This window comes from Homo sapiens, chromosome 1 (genome assembly GCF_000001405.40).
Source record: "Homo sapiens chromosome 1, GRCh38.p14 Primary Assembly".
Taxonomy (NCBI): Eukaryota; Metazoa; Chordata; class Mammalia; order Primates; family Hominidae; genus Homo; species Homo sapiens.
In genome coordinates, this window is record NC_000001.11 from 31,452,443 (window position 1) to 31,469,518 (window position 17,076).

A 17,076-nucleotide genomic window follows, 5' to 3' on the forward strand; every position below is an offset into this window, starting at 1 on the left:
TCCATGAACATGGAATGTCTTTCCATTTGTTTGTGTCATCTATGATTTCTTCCAGTAGTGTTTTGTAGTTTTCCTTGTAGAGGTCTTTCACCTCCTTGGTTAGGTATATTCCTGAGTTTTTTTTCAGCTGTTGTAAAAGGGGTTGAGTTATTGATTCGATTCTCAGCTTAGTCGCTGTTGATGTATAGGAGAGCTACTGATTTGTGTACATTGATTTTGTAACCTGAAACTTTGCTGAATTCATTTATCTAGCTTTTTGGAGGAGTCTTTAGGGTTTTCTAGGTATATGATCGTATCATCAGGAAACAGGGACAGTTTGACTTCCTCTTTACCAATTTGGATGCCCTTTATTTCTTTCTCTTGTCTGATTGCTCTGGTTAGCACTTCCAGTACTATGTTAAATAGAAAAGTGGTGAGAGTGGGCATCTTTGTCTTGTTACAGTTCTCATAGGGAACGCTTTAAACTTTTCCCCATTCAGTATTATGTTGGCTGTGGGTTTGTCATAGATGGCTTTTATTACATTGAGGTATGGGTCTTGTACGCTGATTTTGCTGAGGGTTTTAATCATAAAGTGATATTGAATTTTGTCAAATGCTTTTTCTGCATTTATTGAGATGATCATGTGATTTTTGTTTTAAATTCTGTTTATGTGGTGTATCACATTTATTGACTTGCATATTTTAAACCATCCCTGCATCCCTGGTATGAAACCTACTTGATCATGGTGGATTATCTTTTTCATATGTTGTTGGATTCAGTTAGCTAGTATTTCGTTAAGGATTTATGCATCTATGTTCATCAGGGATATTCGTCTGTAGTTTTCTTTTTTGGTTATGTCCTTCCCTGGTTTTAGTATTAGGGTGATACTGGCTTCATAGAATGATTTGGGTAGGATTTCCTCTTTCTCTATCTTGTGGAATAGTGTCAACAGGATTGGTACCAATTTTTCTTTGAAAGTCTGGTAGAATTCATCTGTGAATCTGTCTGATCCTGGACTTTTTTTTGTAGCTAACTTTTTCTTACCATTTCAATCCTGTTGCTTGTTATTGGTCGTTCAGGGTGTTAGTAACAAATGCTTGTTCCTCGATGCTGCAAAGAAATGCACTTGAACATAAATTTAATTTTCTCAGCAAGGCAATTTTTACTTCTATAGAAGGGTGCGACTTGCGGATGGAGTAATGGCGAAAGCATGCCTGAACAAGGGAAGGGAAGTGGTTCTTATTCCTGATGCAGGTAGCCCCTGCTGTTGTGTCATTCCCCTATTGGCTAGGATTGGACCGCACAGTCTAAGCTAATTCTGATGGGGTATTTTAAAGAGAGCAGGGGTACGAGCCAGAGTGTCAGGGTGAGTAGTTTGGCAGGAAGGGCAGTTATAGAACAGGTGACTCAGGATGATTCAGGTCAGAGCAGGTGACAGGGGTGACTCAAGATGGAGCAGGTGGCCAGGGGTGACTCGGGTCAAAGCAGGTGACCAGGGGAACAGATGTGAACTACTGATTAGAACTGGCAGGAAAGTTGTTTACTGAAACTAGAGGCAAGGGGGGAGGGCAAGAGAACCAGGAAGTTAGACTTAAAAATGGAGAATAAAGAATAAGAGAGCTGAACATACTGACATACTGATTCTTTGAAAAGAAACTTGGAGTTCACTATCTTTAACAATCCCCCATCTTGAAATTTTACAGTTGTTTCTCTTCAAACTTCTTTAACATGTCTTGGCTTAGTTGTTCTGCTTGATTCTCTAAAAGAAAAAGCTTCTCTGAATAAGGTGGAGGAGAATTAAAGGAGGTTTTAGTAAGTGCTGCCTTTATGAGCCTCTGCACCAGCCTATGGATGCATGGTATGACACAACACCTGAAAAGAATGGCTATACCTATTATGGCTGCAAGAGAAGTAAGAATTGAGGCTATGATTCCTTTCCATTTACTGAATCATTTTTCTAGCCACCTGGTGAAGCGGTCATTTACTCCTGAGTTTTTGGCTAACTCGTTAGATAGAGCAATTAGACCTTGCAATGCCTTTGTTATACTTCCATCAGGAGCAATATTGTTTGGGATGAAGGTACAACATTGAGTTTTAATCATGATGCAAACTCCTCCTTTTTCTGCTAACATTATGTCTAAGGCTATTCTATTTTCCCAAGCCATCTGGCTAGTAGCCCCTAATTGCTCAGCTATTTCTTTAATAGCATCTCTAGTGTAGTTTATAATAAACTGCTGTTGGTTGTAATAAATGTAATTTATCCAATCTACATTTTTATTAATTGTTACCCACCAAAATATTGACTTACATCCTGCAGCTATTTGATTTCAGGCTTTAAATTTATCTGGTACTCCTGGTGGAACTCCAATAGCATTTATATAAACATGGGAATCAAAGGACCCATGTGAAGCACTTCTTTTACGATTTTCTTTTTTTTTTAATCGTGTTGACGGAATGCTAGGGTGAAAGGGATGGCCAATTGGACTAAAGCATGAGTGCTGCTTTAATTACTTGGCAGAGTACCCAGCAATAGTCCCCTGCAATACCACTACACATCTGCTCGGGGATGAACAAGGGCAGACTGATGGGTAACCTCTTGAAAAGGCTTGGTTTCACTGCACCCTGTTAAGTCTCCAAGGAATGCTAACTTTTTCCTCTGCCATGAAAGGCAGGAGGTGAAGTAAACACCAGGGGCTGGAGGCTGGATGGACCTCAGGGGCTGACCCGCAGGGCTCTTAACCTCAGGGAACAGCAGTGAAAGAGTCTTCCATCACTCATCACCCCAGGCTGTGGGGTTTTGGAAGAGAGCTACCATAACAGCTCATGCCCGGTCCGTGAGAGGACCACCCAAGTGGAAAGGGGACAATCTCTGTCTCTGGGCTGCCTGTCACACAAGTCTAACAGTCACTTTTGTTTAGCATGAGAACAGAATATTTAATCCATTCAAGCCAAGCATTTGTGTCCTGATACCCTGTGTCAATTGCTATAGTTTGTTTTAAATCTTTAACCTCTACAACTACTTTGGTTTTATCATTGGGTATATAACAAGAGAAGGTTTGGTTAGCGGAGAACTTAAGAGAGGGAGAAGGGGGTGGAGGAGGTGAGGCGGCAATGAAGCGCATTTCAAAGGATCCTATGGGGGTTGTTCCCTGAGACTTCTGCCCCTATACCATAGAAATGGCTTAATGGAGGGGAAGAACTCTGGGGAGCAGCGATGGTCATCTGTACTGGATTCCATTGGTTCAGCTGACAATGTGGAGGGATAACTCCTTTAGTAAAATGAACATATGGTTTTAAGAAACTGCAAGTACTAGTTGGAGCAGTCCATCCTCGCTCTTTAGTATTTTATAGGTCCATATAGTATTTTATATGGACCAACTTCAGCAGAGAAGCTCTGCTGTAGAAGGACAAGATTCCCAGTTTATACTGGAATCTTCGTCAAACTCTTCTCAAACTAACCTATCCCAGTTAACAGATTTCCAGTCTAAGGAGAGCTAGGGAGGATAAATATACTTTTCTGAAGCAGAGAGTTGCTTCTGACTTGGCAAGTCTCCACAGCGTATAACAAAGCAAGCATCAAATGTAATATTTTGAGGCAAAATTGGCTTGGTTACATTAATAACTAGGTGGTCAGCAATAGAATGAGGAAAGAAGTAATAGAATAGATGAAAGAGAGTTAAATTTTTCTTAGCTTTAGTTTGGTAGGGTTTTCCTCTGGGACTATGGTCCATGACCGTGGAGGGGGCGGCGCTTTCTTGACTCGAGTGTGAGGGGTCCACCCTTTTTCTGCTGTCCGGACTGCAGTTTCAGTAGTTAGGAGCGCTAGGTAAGATCCTTCCCAGGCTGGTTCTAATTTTTCCTTTTCTCTAACTTTTGACAGGGACGTGGTCCCCAGGCTGATGTTGGTGTGCTGGAAACTCTAGGGGTGGCACCTGTGCTAAAAGACCTTTAGTTCTGAGGGAAGGGAAAGTAGACGATAAACCAAGTATATAATTTCTGAGAAATTGTTCTTTTGTTTTAAATGTAGAGAGATCAGTAGTAGAATGTAGATAAGGCAATCCATAGAGCATCTCATAAGGGGACAGGCCTGTCTTTTGGGGGAGCAGTTCGGACTCTTCACAGGGTAATATGCCTTCCTACTTTCCCTGATGAAGGTGGATGCCAGAGAGTATGATATCCCCATGTTATATCCAGTATCTGTGCTAATTTCTTAGTGACATGTGCTGTGAAATGAGTCCTATTATCTGAATCACTGTTTTCTATTAATCTAAACCTGGGTATAATATTTTTAACTAATGCCTTGATTATATTATTAGCATTTGTACTTGAAAAGGGAATAGCTTCTACCCAATGAGTAAGGTGATCTACTATTACTAATAAATACTTTAGACGACCAGTTGGAGGCTTCTCTGTGTAATCGATTTGGATACTTTGGAATGGGCTTAAGCCTGGACTCCTTCCCCCAAGTGGTAATCTTTTACTAAGCAATTGTCTGTAACCTGTTTGGCCGGGGTACACATTTCTATGCACTTATAAACTCTGAGGACTGTGTTACACATGGCTTGGGGCCCCCAGTGGGTCTCTTGATGTAGTTGGGACAAGATTTCCCTCATAAGGGGTTTGGATAACATTTCTCTCTGGTCTAGCAATATCCATTTTCCTTCTGAATTTTCTTTAGCACCATTTTTGTTCGTTTTTAAACCAAAGAAAGCCAAACACCACTTTATATTTGACAATGCTTCCTGTATGATTTTATACCAGATAAGCTAAATTTTACCTTTATATTAGTGTGCTATTAATGTTAAGCTCAATTTTAATAAAATCTTGTAGACATTATTTATCCAATATTAATGTCTGACCATAAGGTAAAATTTTTACTCTTTTTAACCCTTTATGATTTTTGTTAAAGAGCAGTTTAGTGCTTTAAGAAAAACCTGTTGTGCTTTTTTTTAATGTCCAGTTCGCAGAAAAACTGGATGATACCCCCTTAACTTTAGCCAATATGTTTACACACAGAATTTCCTTTACAATTAACGTTTCAAAGCTTGCTTAAACCTTCAAAACACATTTTTTTAACCTTTTAATGTAGGTAAAAATCCACATTATTATACTTTCTTATACTCCTTTTACCAAAAGTATATTTTACTTTCCTTACACACCTTGCATATAAACTGTTTCTTCAATAGTTTTACATTCAGGAGGCCTAATTACTTTTAAATTATACAACATTTCTTGCATAAATTCCCCTTTATAACATTTTTCACAACTTTCACAGATAATCTTCAACATGCCTCAACTTTCTGACTTGTTGCAAACATCCCTTTCTTTAAACAACCAGTTAATTTATTTTAGGACAAGAATTTACCATATAAGATTCTTTTTATATAAATTCTCCTTTTTTAAATGTCAGAGATGATAACTAGTTTTCTCCAAAGCAAACTTCCTTCATGTCGGTGGACTAGGCTGCCTAAGGCCACAAGATTAGAAGTTAGGATAATACATGTTATACTGCTAACTTTTAGCAAATGTGGAAAGTAAAAAGTTCCTCTTCCTTCAAAGTTTCCCTTCTTGTTAAAGAATAAATAATAAATGTTAGAAATAATAGTTTCTTTTAAAGACTAACTTCCTTCAAAGCCTTCTTGCTTTTTGCTAATAACCCTTTATTAAGCCCTATCCTATGTAGATGTTAGATATAAGGAAATAAGTACATCCTATGTCCTTGTACTTTAACCAAGATATTGGCATGTCCCAGTTCACAGCCTATGCCCCTTTCTTATTTGGAAATGTTATTACTTCTCTAAGTCCTTTTGCAAGCAACTTCCTCTTTTCCTTTTGTTCTTCATTGCCTTTACCTATTTAGGAAAGTTTTAAGTTGTTAGCCAATCGGGTTTAGCTTAGACTGTGACTGTTAGCCAATCGGATTTAGCTTAGACTTAGACTCCAAGCAATGGAGATAGGACACAGCAGTAAGGATCCAATGTGTAAGGGATAAATATTCCTGATTTGTTTGTTCAGTGTGCTCTCATGGCAAGATTGCTGATAAGTAGCACCCTTTCTGCAGAAAGTAAAATTGCCTTGCTGAGAAAACTTTTTGTCTGAATGCTAGTTTTTCCTTGTGGCACTGAGGAATAAGCATTTACTTCTAACAGTTCTGGAGGCTCCTCTGGGATTCCCATTCTCCTTTCAGAAGGGGTCTTTGGTCACCCCCTCAGGGAGGCATACCCCACTGCCTTGTTGTGGTGGCCTTAAGGGCTGGAGATCAAAACCCATCCTTTGCAATGAATAAACCCGGGCTCTTAGCAACACGGGGAAAGAAGGGCTTGCAACACTGCTGTGACCAGGTAATTCTGTGCACATACCAAGGTAAGAAACATCACAAGGGGGTGACAAAGTATTTCCTTGATGGTCAAAATTCTGGAGGTTGAGTGTGAGTGTGCATGCGTGAGTATGGTGTGAGTGGGTCCTCTCTGCAAATTCTGTAATCATTTCATATGGCTTAGAGGTAAGAGAGGGCAAAACAAAAGGAAAGGAGTGAAAGAGACCTCCAGAAGGTGAGGGGGAATAGTTAGAATCCTCCCTGGGAAAAGAAGGGTGAAAAACCTCAAGCACGTGAGGTTGTTTGTTTGTTTGTTTGTTTGTTATTTTGTTGCTGTTGTTGTTGTTTTTTGAGATGGAGTCTTGTTCTGTCACCCAGGCTAGAGTGCAGTGGTGCGATCTCCACTCACTGCAAGCTCTGCCTCCCGGGTTCATGCCATTCTCCTGCCTCAGCCTCCCAAGTAGCTGGGATTACAGGTGCCCGCCACCATTCCTGGCTAATTTTTTGTATTTTTAGTAGAGATGGGGTTTCACCATGTTAGCCAGGATGGTCTCGATCTCCGGACCTCGTGGTCCACCCGACTTGGTCTCCCAAAGTGCTGGGATTACAGGTGTGAGCCACTGCGCCCGGCCATACGTGAGGTTGTTTTAAGCAAGCCTCTGGAAAACGGGATAAGCAAGAAAACTCTGGGTCGAGAGGTTGAGTCTAACTGGTACTCAGTATAGGGAATATTTCTAGTAAAACAGGGAAGGGAAAGAATGCAGATGGTCAAATCCCCCCCACCGATAGTCCTTTAGGGCTTATGTTAAAGTATTGGAAAGACAATGAGAGGACTAAACTCAAGGGAAAGCAGCAAATGATAAAGTATTGCTGCTTTATTTGGACTAAAGAGCCAATCCTCAAGCCCACAGTTTTCTGGCCAAAGTTTGGGTTGGATGGGGACTGGGTTTGTCAACTCCTAATAATGTATGTTAATGACAAGAGTCCTCTCTCACAAGAAGAAATAGACTATGCTCTGTGCTGGCGGCAGGGGCCGTTCTTCTCTACCCGCTAAGAATAGATGGGAAGGAACTAGAAGGTAAAAAGGACTCAGAGGCTGTCTCATCTGAGAACAAAGTTTCTACTTCTAAGACATCCACGAGTAAGTGGGACCCTCTAGACCACCATCCCCCACTTCTCAAAAACCCACCACTCCCTCCTCAAGCAATTGCCGCCGCCCCAAACCCCATCCCAGACCCAGTTCCAGACTCTCCTCTGGATCCTCATACTCAGGTTATTCCTCCCCCATACAACCCGGACTCCTGGAAGTTATTGTCCCAGGGACCCAAGTTTTGTCAGTCTGAATATCCTTCTTTAAAGAAAGGACTTCAACGGGAAATACAACAATGTAGAAAGGATATTCAGAGTCTTCCTTTCCCCCTCCCCACTTCTAAGGATTCATCTTCAAAGTTCTTTCTTTTAAGGGAGGTACCACAAGGGGGGGCAATTTGCCTTGTAAATGCTCCCTTAACTGGTTCCGAAGTCCGAAGTCTTAAAAAAAAAGAACTCAAGCCATTATTAGATGATCCTTATGGAGTGGCAGATCAAATTGATCAGTTTTTAGGCCCGCAGTTATATACCTGGGCTGAATTAATGTCCATCCTAGGTATCCTCTTTTCAGGGGAAGAGCAGAACATGATCCGCAGAGCTGCTGTGGTGGTCTGGGAGTGTGACCATCCTCTGGGCCAAAATGTTCTGGCAGCAGACCAAAATTTCCAGCCAAGACCTGGAGTGGGATAACAATATTGCAGCCCACAGGGATAACATGAGAGATTTAAGGGAAATGATAGTTAGAGGAATTTGGGAATCAGTGTCCCGACCTCAAAATCTCTCTAAGGATTTTGATATACAGCAAGAAAAAGATGAAGGGCCTATGAAGTTTCTAGACAGAGTGAGGGAACAGATGAGAAAATATGCTGGTTTAGACCCAGAAAGCCCCTTTGGGCTAGGATTGTTAAAGTTGCACTTTATTATTAACAGTTGGCCAGATATTGCAAGAAAATTGCAAAAACTGGAAAATTGGAAGAATCGGTCAATAGAAGAGCTTTTGAGAGAAGCCCAAAAAGTATATGTAAGTAGAGATGAAGAAAGGCAGAGACAGAAAGCAAAAATCTTTTGACAGAGTTCACCAGGACAAATGATACCAGGGGCTAAGTTTAGACCCACACCTGCAAAGTTTTCTAGAGAAGGTGAAAGAAGAAAGTCAGGGAACTCAGGAATGCAAAGAGAAAGAAGGCAAGATCAGTACGTTAAGGGAGAAGGTCAAAGTAAGTGCTGTAAGGGCTGTGGATGTGAAGGTAAGGAGGAAAGACAAAGGGGCCCTGGGCTTGGGAGAGAGGAAGGACAAGACAGATGTTACAAATGTGGAAGACCAGACCATTTTAATAGGTAATGTCCGGAATTAGAAAAAGTAGAAGAAGCTCTTCCACTCATGACTACCTTTGAAGAGGAATAGGGGGGTCAGGGGCTCTGTCTTTTCTATTTTGAGTCCCACCAGGAACCCTTGATACATTTAGAGGTGAGACCCAAACATGAATTAATCACCTTTTTAATTGACTCAGGAGCTGCTTGCTTGTCTGTTTGTTTTCCCCCAGCTGATTTAACTTGTTCTACAGAGGAATTGCTAGTTTCTGGGGTAAAAGGAGAAGAATTTAAGGAGAAAGTTTTAGAAAATACAGAAGCAAAATACCAAGATCAGTCAACTTGTATTCAACTTTTGTTAATTCCTGAAGCAGGAACCAATCTGTTAGGGAGAGATTCAATGTTAAAACTAGGTATAGGTCTGCAAGTTGGCCCAAAGGGTGTTCTAACTTCCTTAAATTTGCTTACCACAGCAGATGAGAAGTCCATTCATCTCGATGTCTGGCCAAGGGAAGGAAACTGAGGAAAGCTACGAATTCCTCCAATACATATCAGGTTAAGGACTCCAGGGGAGGTAGTGAGAAGAAAGCAATACCCTATCCCTTTAGAAGAAGGGTAGGGTTAAAGCCTGTAATTGAGAGTCTTATTAAAGATGGACTACTTGAACCTTGTATGTCCTCATACAACACTCCAATTTTACCAGTCAAAAAATCAGATGGGTCATACCAACTAGTGCAGGACCTTACAGCTATCAATCAAATAGTCCAGACCACTCATTCTGTTGTACCCAACCCTTACACCATTCTTAGTAAAATTTCACACAGTCATCAGTGGTTCACAGTAATAGACTTAAAGGATGCATTCTGGGCAGGTCCCTTGGCTGAAGACAGCCAGGATATATTTACTTTTGAATGGGAAGGTCCCCATTCAAGATGGAAACAACAGTATAGATGGACAGTTTTACCCCAAGGATTTACAGATTCACTCAATCTTTTTGGTCAAATCTTAGAGCAAGTATTAGAAAAAGTTGTTGTCCCAAAGCAGCTACGTTTGCTCCAATATGTGGATGATATTCTTATATCTGGAGAAGACATAGAGAAGGTAGCTGGGTTTTCTACACACGTTCTTAACCACTTACAGTTTGAAGGGTATGGGTCTCAAAGAGAAAGCTTCAATATGTAGAACCTGAAGTTAAATACTTAGGCCATTTAATAAATGCAGACAAAGGAAGAATAGGACCCAAATGGGTCAAAGGAATTGTGTCTTTGCCCTTGCCTCAAACCAAGCAAGAACTCAGGAAATTTTTAGGGTTAGTTGGATACTGCCATTTATGGATTGACTCATATGCATTAAAAAGTAAACTTCCATATGAGAAGCTAACTAAAGGAGAACCTGATCTCTTCATATGGACTTCTGAAGAGGTTGATCAGGTTGGGGAGTAAAAGGAAAGACTCATAACTGCTCCTGTCCTGGCCCTACCCTCTCTAGAAAAACCATTTCATCTTTTTGTTAACGTAGATAATGGAGTGGCTCTAGGAGTGCTTACCCAAGAACATGGGGGCTGCCGACAGCCAGTGGCCTTCCTGTCAAAAGTTCTAGATCCAGTCGCCTGCAGATGGCCTCAGCGTATTCAATCCATTGTGGCCACGGTGATATTGGTTGAAGAAAGCAGGAAATTAACTTTTGGAGGATATCTGACAGTGAGTACACCTCAACAAGTCAAGCTATCCTAAGCCAAAAGGCAGGAAGATGGCTCACTGACTCCAGAATTTTAAAATATGAAGCTATCCTATTAGAAAAAGATGATTTAACCTTAACTACAGACAATTCACTTAACCCAGTGGGTTTCTTGACAGGGAACCCACTGCTAAAAAGGGAACACCTATGTCTAGATTTAATTGACTACCATACGAAAGTCAGCCCAGATTTAGTAGAAACCCCCTTTAAGACAGGGCAGCTTTATTTACAGATGGTTCCTCCCAGGTAATTGAGGGAAAACGACATAATGGGTATGCAGTAATCGATGGGGAAACTCTCAAAGAAGTTGAATCAGGAAGATAACCCAATAGTTGGTCTCCCCAAGCCTGTGAGCTATTTGCACTTAGCCAGGCCCTAAAATACTTATAGAACCAGGTAGGAACCATCTATACTGACTCTAAGTATGCTTTTGGGGTGTCTCACACATTTGGAAAAATTTGGGCCGAACGGGGCCTTATTAATAGTAAAGGTCAAGATCTTGCTTATGAAACATTAATTGTGTCCTGAATAATCTTCAGTTACCAGAGGAAATAGACATTGTCCATGTTCCAGGACACCAACACAACTTTTATTTTGAAAGTTGAGGAAATACTCTTGTGGATCAAAGAGCCAAGCAAGCTGCTGTTTCCTCTGAGACACCATCTTTCACTTAACTCCTTGTCTTCCTTCTCCCACTGTAGTTCCTATTTTCTGTCATACTGAGAAGGAAAAATTAGTAAAAATAGGAGCTCAAAGGAATTCAGAAGGGAAATAGATACTCCCAGACCAGAAAGAAATATTATCTAAGCCTCTTTTGAGGGAGGTTTTATCTTAACTACATCAAAGAACTCACTGGAGCCCCAAGTTATGTGTGATGCAGTTCTCAGGGTTTATGGGTATATTGAGATTTATACTTTAGCAAAACAAGTTAAAGACAGTTGTCTAATTTGTAAGAAAACAAATAAACAAGCCCTAAGAAAATTACCACTTGGAGGAAGAAATCCAGGACTAAGACCATTTCAAAGTGTCCAAGTTGATTACGCTGAAATGCCCCCACCTGGTCAGCTAAAGTATTTATTGGTAATAGTAGATCATTTCACCCATTGGGTAGAGGCTATCCCTTTTTCAAGTGCAACCGCTAGTAATGTAGTTAAAGCAATAATTGAACATATTACACCCAGGTTCGGACTAATAGAAAACATTGATTCAGACAATGGAACCCATTTTACTGCACATATCATTAAAAAGTTGGCTCAAGTACTAGACATAAAGTGGGAATATCACATTCCTTGGCACCCATCCTCCTCAGGGAGAGTAGAAAGGATGAACCAAACCCTTAAAAGCCACCTAACTAAATTAGTCCTAGAGACCCGGTTGCCATAGGCTAAATGCCTTCCTATTGTTTTATTAAGGATTAGAACCTCCCCTTGGAAAGATGTTGGCCTGTCCCCTTATGAAATGTTATATGGGTTGCCTTACTTATATTCCACTGCTCATGCCCCCACATTTGAATCAAAGGATCAGTTTCTCAGAAATTATATACTTGGTCTCTCCTCTACCTTTTTTTCACTTAAAACCAGAGGTCTTCTAGCACAGGCACCACCCCTAGAATTTCCAGTACACCAGCACCAGCCTGGGGACCATCAAAGGACGGAAAGAAGCAAAACTCGAGCCAGCCTGGGAAGGACCCTACCTCGTGCTGCTAACCACCGAGACTGCCATTGGCACAGCAGAAAAAGGATGAACACATCACACCCAAGTCAAGAAAACGTCATCACCTTCGGAATCGTGGGTCATTGTTCCAGGATCAAGCCCTACCAAATTAAAGTTAAGAAAAGCTTAATCTATCTATCTTTTATTTTTCTTTTCTTCCCTTTAACTACTCCCCATCTTATTATTAACGTAACTAGATCTAACTCACCTCAAGTTATTACTTCTGATGCCTGTTTAGTTATACCCTGTGGAGATTTGCATAACCAAAGACAGTTTACTACTTCGGAAAAATATCTCTGTCCCTCTTGGACTTCCTCAGATTGGGAAGACATATTGAGTTCCTGCAAGGATACTAGTAATCCAGAGAATACTAGTTGTATTAATTGGTGGGAATCAGACTCTTGTCCCTCTAAAACAGAATCTCTATGTTCTGCTTGGTCTAATGTCCTATGGAACACTAAAGGTCTAAGATAGACTGCTTCCACGGGTCTTTGTCAGTCCTTAAAACCATATATTCATTTCACCAAAAGAATTACTCCTTCTAGCTGTCAATATAACCAGTGTAATCCTATACAGCTTACTATTACTATTGCAACATCTGAAAACTCTTCCCCTTCATTAAGTCATATTTATGGTATGGGAGCTGACATTTCAGGAAAGATAGTAAGGGAATTTTTGAAATATGCTTTATTGCTTCTTCAACCTCTATCAATCACTCCTCCCAGACACAATGACAAAACCAAAATCTCCGTAGTAAAAGTAGAAAACCTAAGGCAAACCATAGCAATTGAGACAGGGTATCAGGATGTAAATGCCTGGCTAGAATGGATTAAATATTCCATCTGCACTTTAAATAAAAGCGATTGTTACGCTCCTACACATGGTAGGCCAGAGGCCCAGATTGTCCCCTTTCCACTCAGATGGCCCTCTAATCGACAAGACATGGACTGCATGGTAGCTGTTTTTCAAAATCCTACAGCCTGGGATAATGAACTGTGCCAAACTGTCTCTCTGCTATTTCCTGAAGTGCAGCATCCTGCGGGTCAGCCCCCGCAGGCCATCCAGCCTCCATCTTCCAAGAGCAACTTTACCTCATGTCTCCAACGACAAGGGGAAAATTTGGTGTTCCTTGGAGACTTAACAGGATGCAGTGAGGTCAGGCACTGCCAAGAGCTGACCCATCAGTCCGTCCTTATTCATCCCGGAGCAGATGTCTGGTGGTATTGTGGAGGACCTTTACTGGACACTCTGCCAAATAATTGGAGTGGTACTTGTGCTCTAGTTCAATTGGCTGTCCCTTTTACCCTGACATTTCATCAACCAGAAAAAGAAAAAACATGACATCGTAAAACAAGAGAAGCCCCTTACTGGTCTTTCAACCCCCACGTCTATTTAGATGCAATTAGCATTCCACAGGGTGTACCAGATGAATATAAAGCTAGGGATTCCAAATAGCTGCAGGGTTTGAATCTATCCTCCCATGGATAACAGTTAATAAAAACAAAGATTGGAAAAACTATATTTTTTACAATCAACAACGGTTTATTAATTACACTAAAGATGCTGTCAATGGAAGAGTGGAACAGTTAGGGTCCACTAGCCAAATGGCCTGGGAAAACAGAATGGCTTTGGATATGATATTAGTTGAAAAAGGTGGTATTTGTGTTATGATTAAAATCCAATGTTGTACCTTCATCCCAAACAACACTGCTCCCAATGGCAGCATAATGATGGCCCTACAAGGCCTTACTGCTTTACCTGAAGAACTAGCTAAAAATTCTGGAATTAATAACCCTGTTTTAAAATGGCTAGAAGGGTGGTTTGGCCAATGAAAAGAGACTGTAGCCTCAATTCTTACCTCTTTAGCAACTGTAATAAGTATACTCCTTCTTTTTGGGTGTTGTGTTATACCATGCATCCGAGAGTTGGTGCAAAGGTTAATGAAAATGGCTCTTACTAAAACCTCCCTTAACTCTACTCCACCTTATTCAGAGAAGCTTTTTTTTTTTTTTTTAAGAGACTCAGGCAGAACAACTAAGCCAAGACATATTAAGAAAGTTTGAAGAGGAAAAACTATAAAATCAAGAGGGGGAAATTGTGGAAAGTAAAAAGTTCCTCTTCAAAGTTTCCCTTCTTGTTAAATAATAAATAATAAATGTTAGAAATAATAGTTTCTTTTAAAGACTGACTTCCTTCAAAGCCTTCTTGCTTTTTGCTGATAACTCTTTGTTAAGCCCTATCCTATGTGGATGTTAGATATAAGGGAATAAGTACATTCTATGTCCTTGTACTTTAACCAAGATATTTATTCTGGACATGCTCAGGCATGTCCCAGCTCACAGACTATGCCCCTTTCTTATTTGGAAATGTTATTACTTCTCTAAGTCCTTTGCAAGCAACTTCCTCTCTCTCTCTCTCTTTTTTTTTTTTTTTGTTCTCCATTGCCTTTACCAATTTAGGAAAGTTTTAAGTTTTTAGCCAATCAGGTTTAGCTTAGACTGTGAGGTCCAGCTCCAACCAATGGAGATAGGACACAGCAGTAAGGACCCAATAAGGGATAAATATTCCTGCCTTTCTTTATTCAGTGTGCTTTCATGGCGAGATTGCTGATGAGTAGCATCCTTTCTGGAGAAAGTAAAATTGCCTTGCTGAGAATTTTTTTTTGTCTGAATGCTGGTTTTCCTTGCGGCACTGAGAAATAAGCATTTACTTCTAACAGCAAACTTTACTTTTGTGGAAAATCTTGTAAATTTGGGATTTTAATTAAAGAAAGGCTTTTCTGGTGTCCAGGGACATGGACAACAGCTATTTCTTTTGACAACTTAAGGTTATTTAATACTTGGGTGATTAATTCCTTGTGGACCAGGTCTTCACCTTTGCTATTAATAAGACCTCGTTCAGTCCAGCTGTTTCCAAATGTATGAGTCACTCCAAAGGCATACTTAGAATCAGTATAGATGGTCCTTCCTGGTTCTGTAAGTACTTTAAGGCTTGGCTGAGTGCAAACAGCTCACACATTGGAGCAGACCAATTATTAGGCAATTTTCCTAGCTCTATTTCTATGAGAGTTTCTCTGTTAATTACCGAATACCCATTGTGTCTTTTTCCCTCAATTACCCAGGAGGAACCATCTATAAATAAGTGTCGTCCTGTCCTGAAGGGAGTTTCTCCTAGGTCTGGTCAGACCTTTGTATGGTAATTAATTAAGATTTAGATCCCCTGTTAGGAAACCTGCTGGGTTAAGCAAATTATCAGTGGTGAATGTTAAATCATCTTTTTCTTACAGAATAGCCTCATACTTTAAGATTCTTGAGTCAGTAAGCTACATTTTTGCTTTTTGACTTAGCATAGTTCTGACCTGGTGAGGTGTGCTCACAATGAGGTTTCCTCTAAAAGTTAGTTTTCTACTTTATTCTCTTAGCAAAGCAGTTGCTGCTACAGACTGAATGCATTTGGGCCATCCACAGTTTACTGGGTTAAGGATTTTTCATAGGAAGGGTACAGGTTGTCAGTGGCCTCTGTGCTTTTGGGTATTTCTAAGGCTATGCCCTTGTTTACACTGACAAAAAGATGGAATGGCTGCTTAAGGAGGGTAAAGCTAGGATGGGGCAGTTACTAATAGATGTTTTTGCTTTGTTTTGTTTTTGAGACAGAGTCTTGCTCTGTCGCGCAGGCTGGAGTGCAGTGGCGTGATCTTGGTTCACTGCAAGCTCTGCCTCCCGGGTTCACACCATTCTCCTGCCTCAGCCTCCTGAGTAGCTGGGACTACAGGTGCCCGCCACCACGCATGGCTAATTTTTTGTATTTTTGGTAGAGACGGGGTTTCATCGTGTTAGACAGGATGATCTCAATCTCCTGACCTCATGATCCACCCGCCTCGGCCTCCCAAAGTGCTGGGATTACAGGCATGAGCCACCGTGCCCGGCCACTAATAGATGTTTTAACCTTTCCACCTGTTGGATTTCTGGTAATTGCCAAATGAGAGGGTTTGGCCCATCTTGCATGAGCTTTCTGTATAGGGTTTTGTTTTTAGGGCATAAGAATCTATCCATAGATGACAGTACCCAACTAATCCTAAAATGTTTTAAGTTCTTGTTTAGTCTCCAGCAGAGGGAAGGATATTATGCCTTCAATCCGTTCAAGCTCAATTTTCTGTTTATCTTTGCTAATTAAGTGACTTGTTCTAATATTTGACTAAATAAATTTGGAGACTCCGTAAACCCTTGGGGTAAGACTATCAGTATTGCTATTTTCAACCAGAGTGAGGGTCTTCTTATTCAAAGGCAAATAGGTCCCAGCTGTCTCTGCTAATGGACAAGCCCAGAAAGCATCTTTTAAATCTATTACTGTAAACCACTGGTGACTGTAATAGTATAAGGATTGGGAACAATAGGGTGGGTAGTTTGGATTATTTGATTAATAGCTCCAAGGTCTTGCACTAACTGGTATGACACGTCTGGCTTCTTTTTTTTTGATACAGAGTCTCACTCTATCACCCAGGCTGGAGTGCAGTGGCGCAATCTCAGCTCACTGCAAGCTCCGCTTCCCAGGTTCACACCATTCTCCTGCCTCAGCCTCCCGAGTAGCTGGGACCACAGGCACCTGCCACCACGCCCAGCTCGTTTTTTGTATTTTTAGTAGAGACGGGGTTTCACTGTGTTAGCCAGGATGGTCTCAATCTCCTGACCTTGTAATCCACGTGCCTTGGCCTCCAAAAGTGCTGGGATTACAGGTGTGAGCCACTGCGCCTGGCCCCCATCTGGCTTCTTTACAGGCAATATTGGAGTGTTATAGGGAGACACACAGGGTTTAAGAAGCCCAACACCAAGACGACCTTCAATTATCAATTATAGGTCTTAAATTTACCCTAGTTTTCAAAGAAATAGGGTACATTGCTTTCTCTTTACTACTTCCCCAGGTGTTTTTAATA

General features: G+C 40.9%; 1 long non-coding RNA gene across 1 annotated transcript in view, besides 1 other annotated feature; it reads right to left on the reverse strand.

The window, feature by feature from the left end:
• Positions 1-17,076, reverse strand: part of LOC124903900 (uncharacterized) — a 45,067-nt gene that overhangs the window by 26,033 nt on the left and 1,958 nt on the right. The gene's annotated exons all lie outside the window — the stretch shown is intronic.
• Positions 831-2,030: an enhancer, noted in NCBI's record as "P300/CBP strongly-dependent group 1 enhancer chr1:31926120-31927319 (GRCh37/hg19 assembly coordinates)". NCBI's record gives its function as "activates an origin of replication core promoter dependent on BRD2, BRD4, P300/CBP, MED14 and CDK7 cofactors, with strong dependence on P300/CBP, by STARR-seq in HCT116 cells {active_cell/tissue: HCT116}" and the evidence as "EXISTENCE:reporter gene assay evidence [ECO:0000049][PMID:35650434]".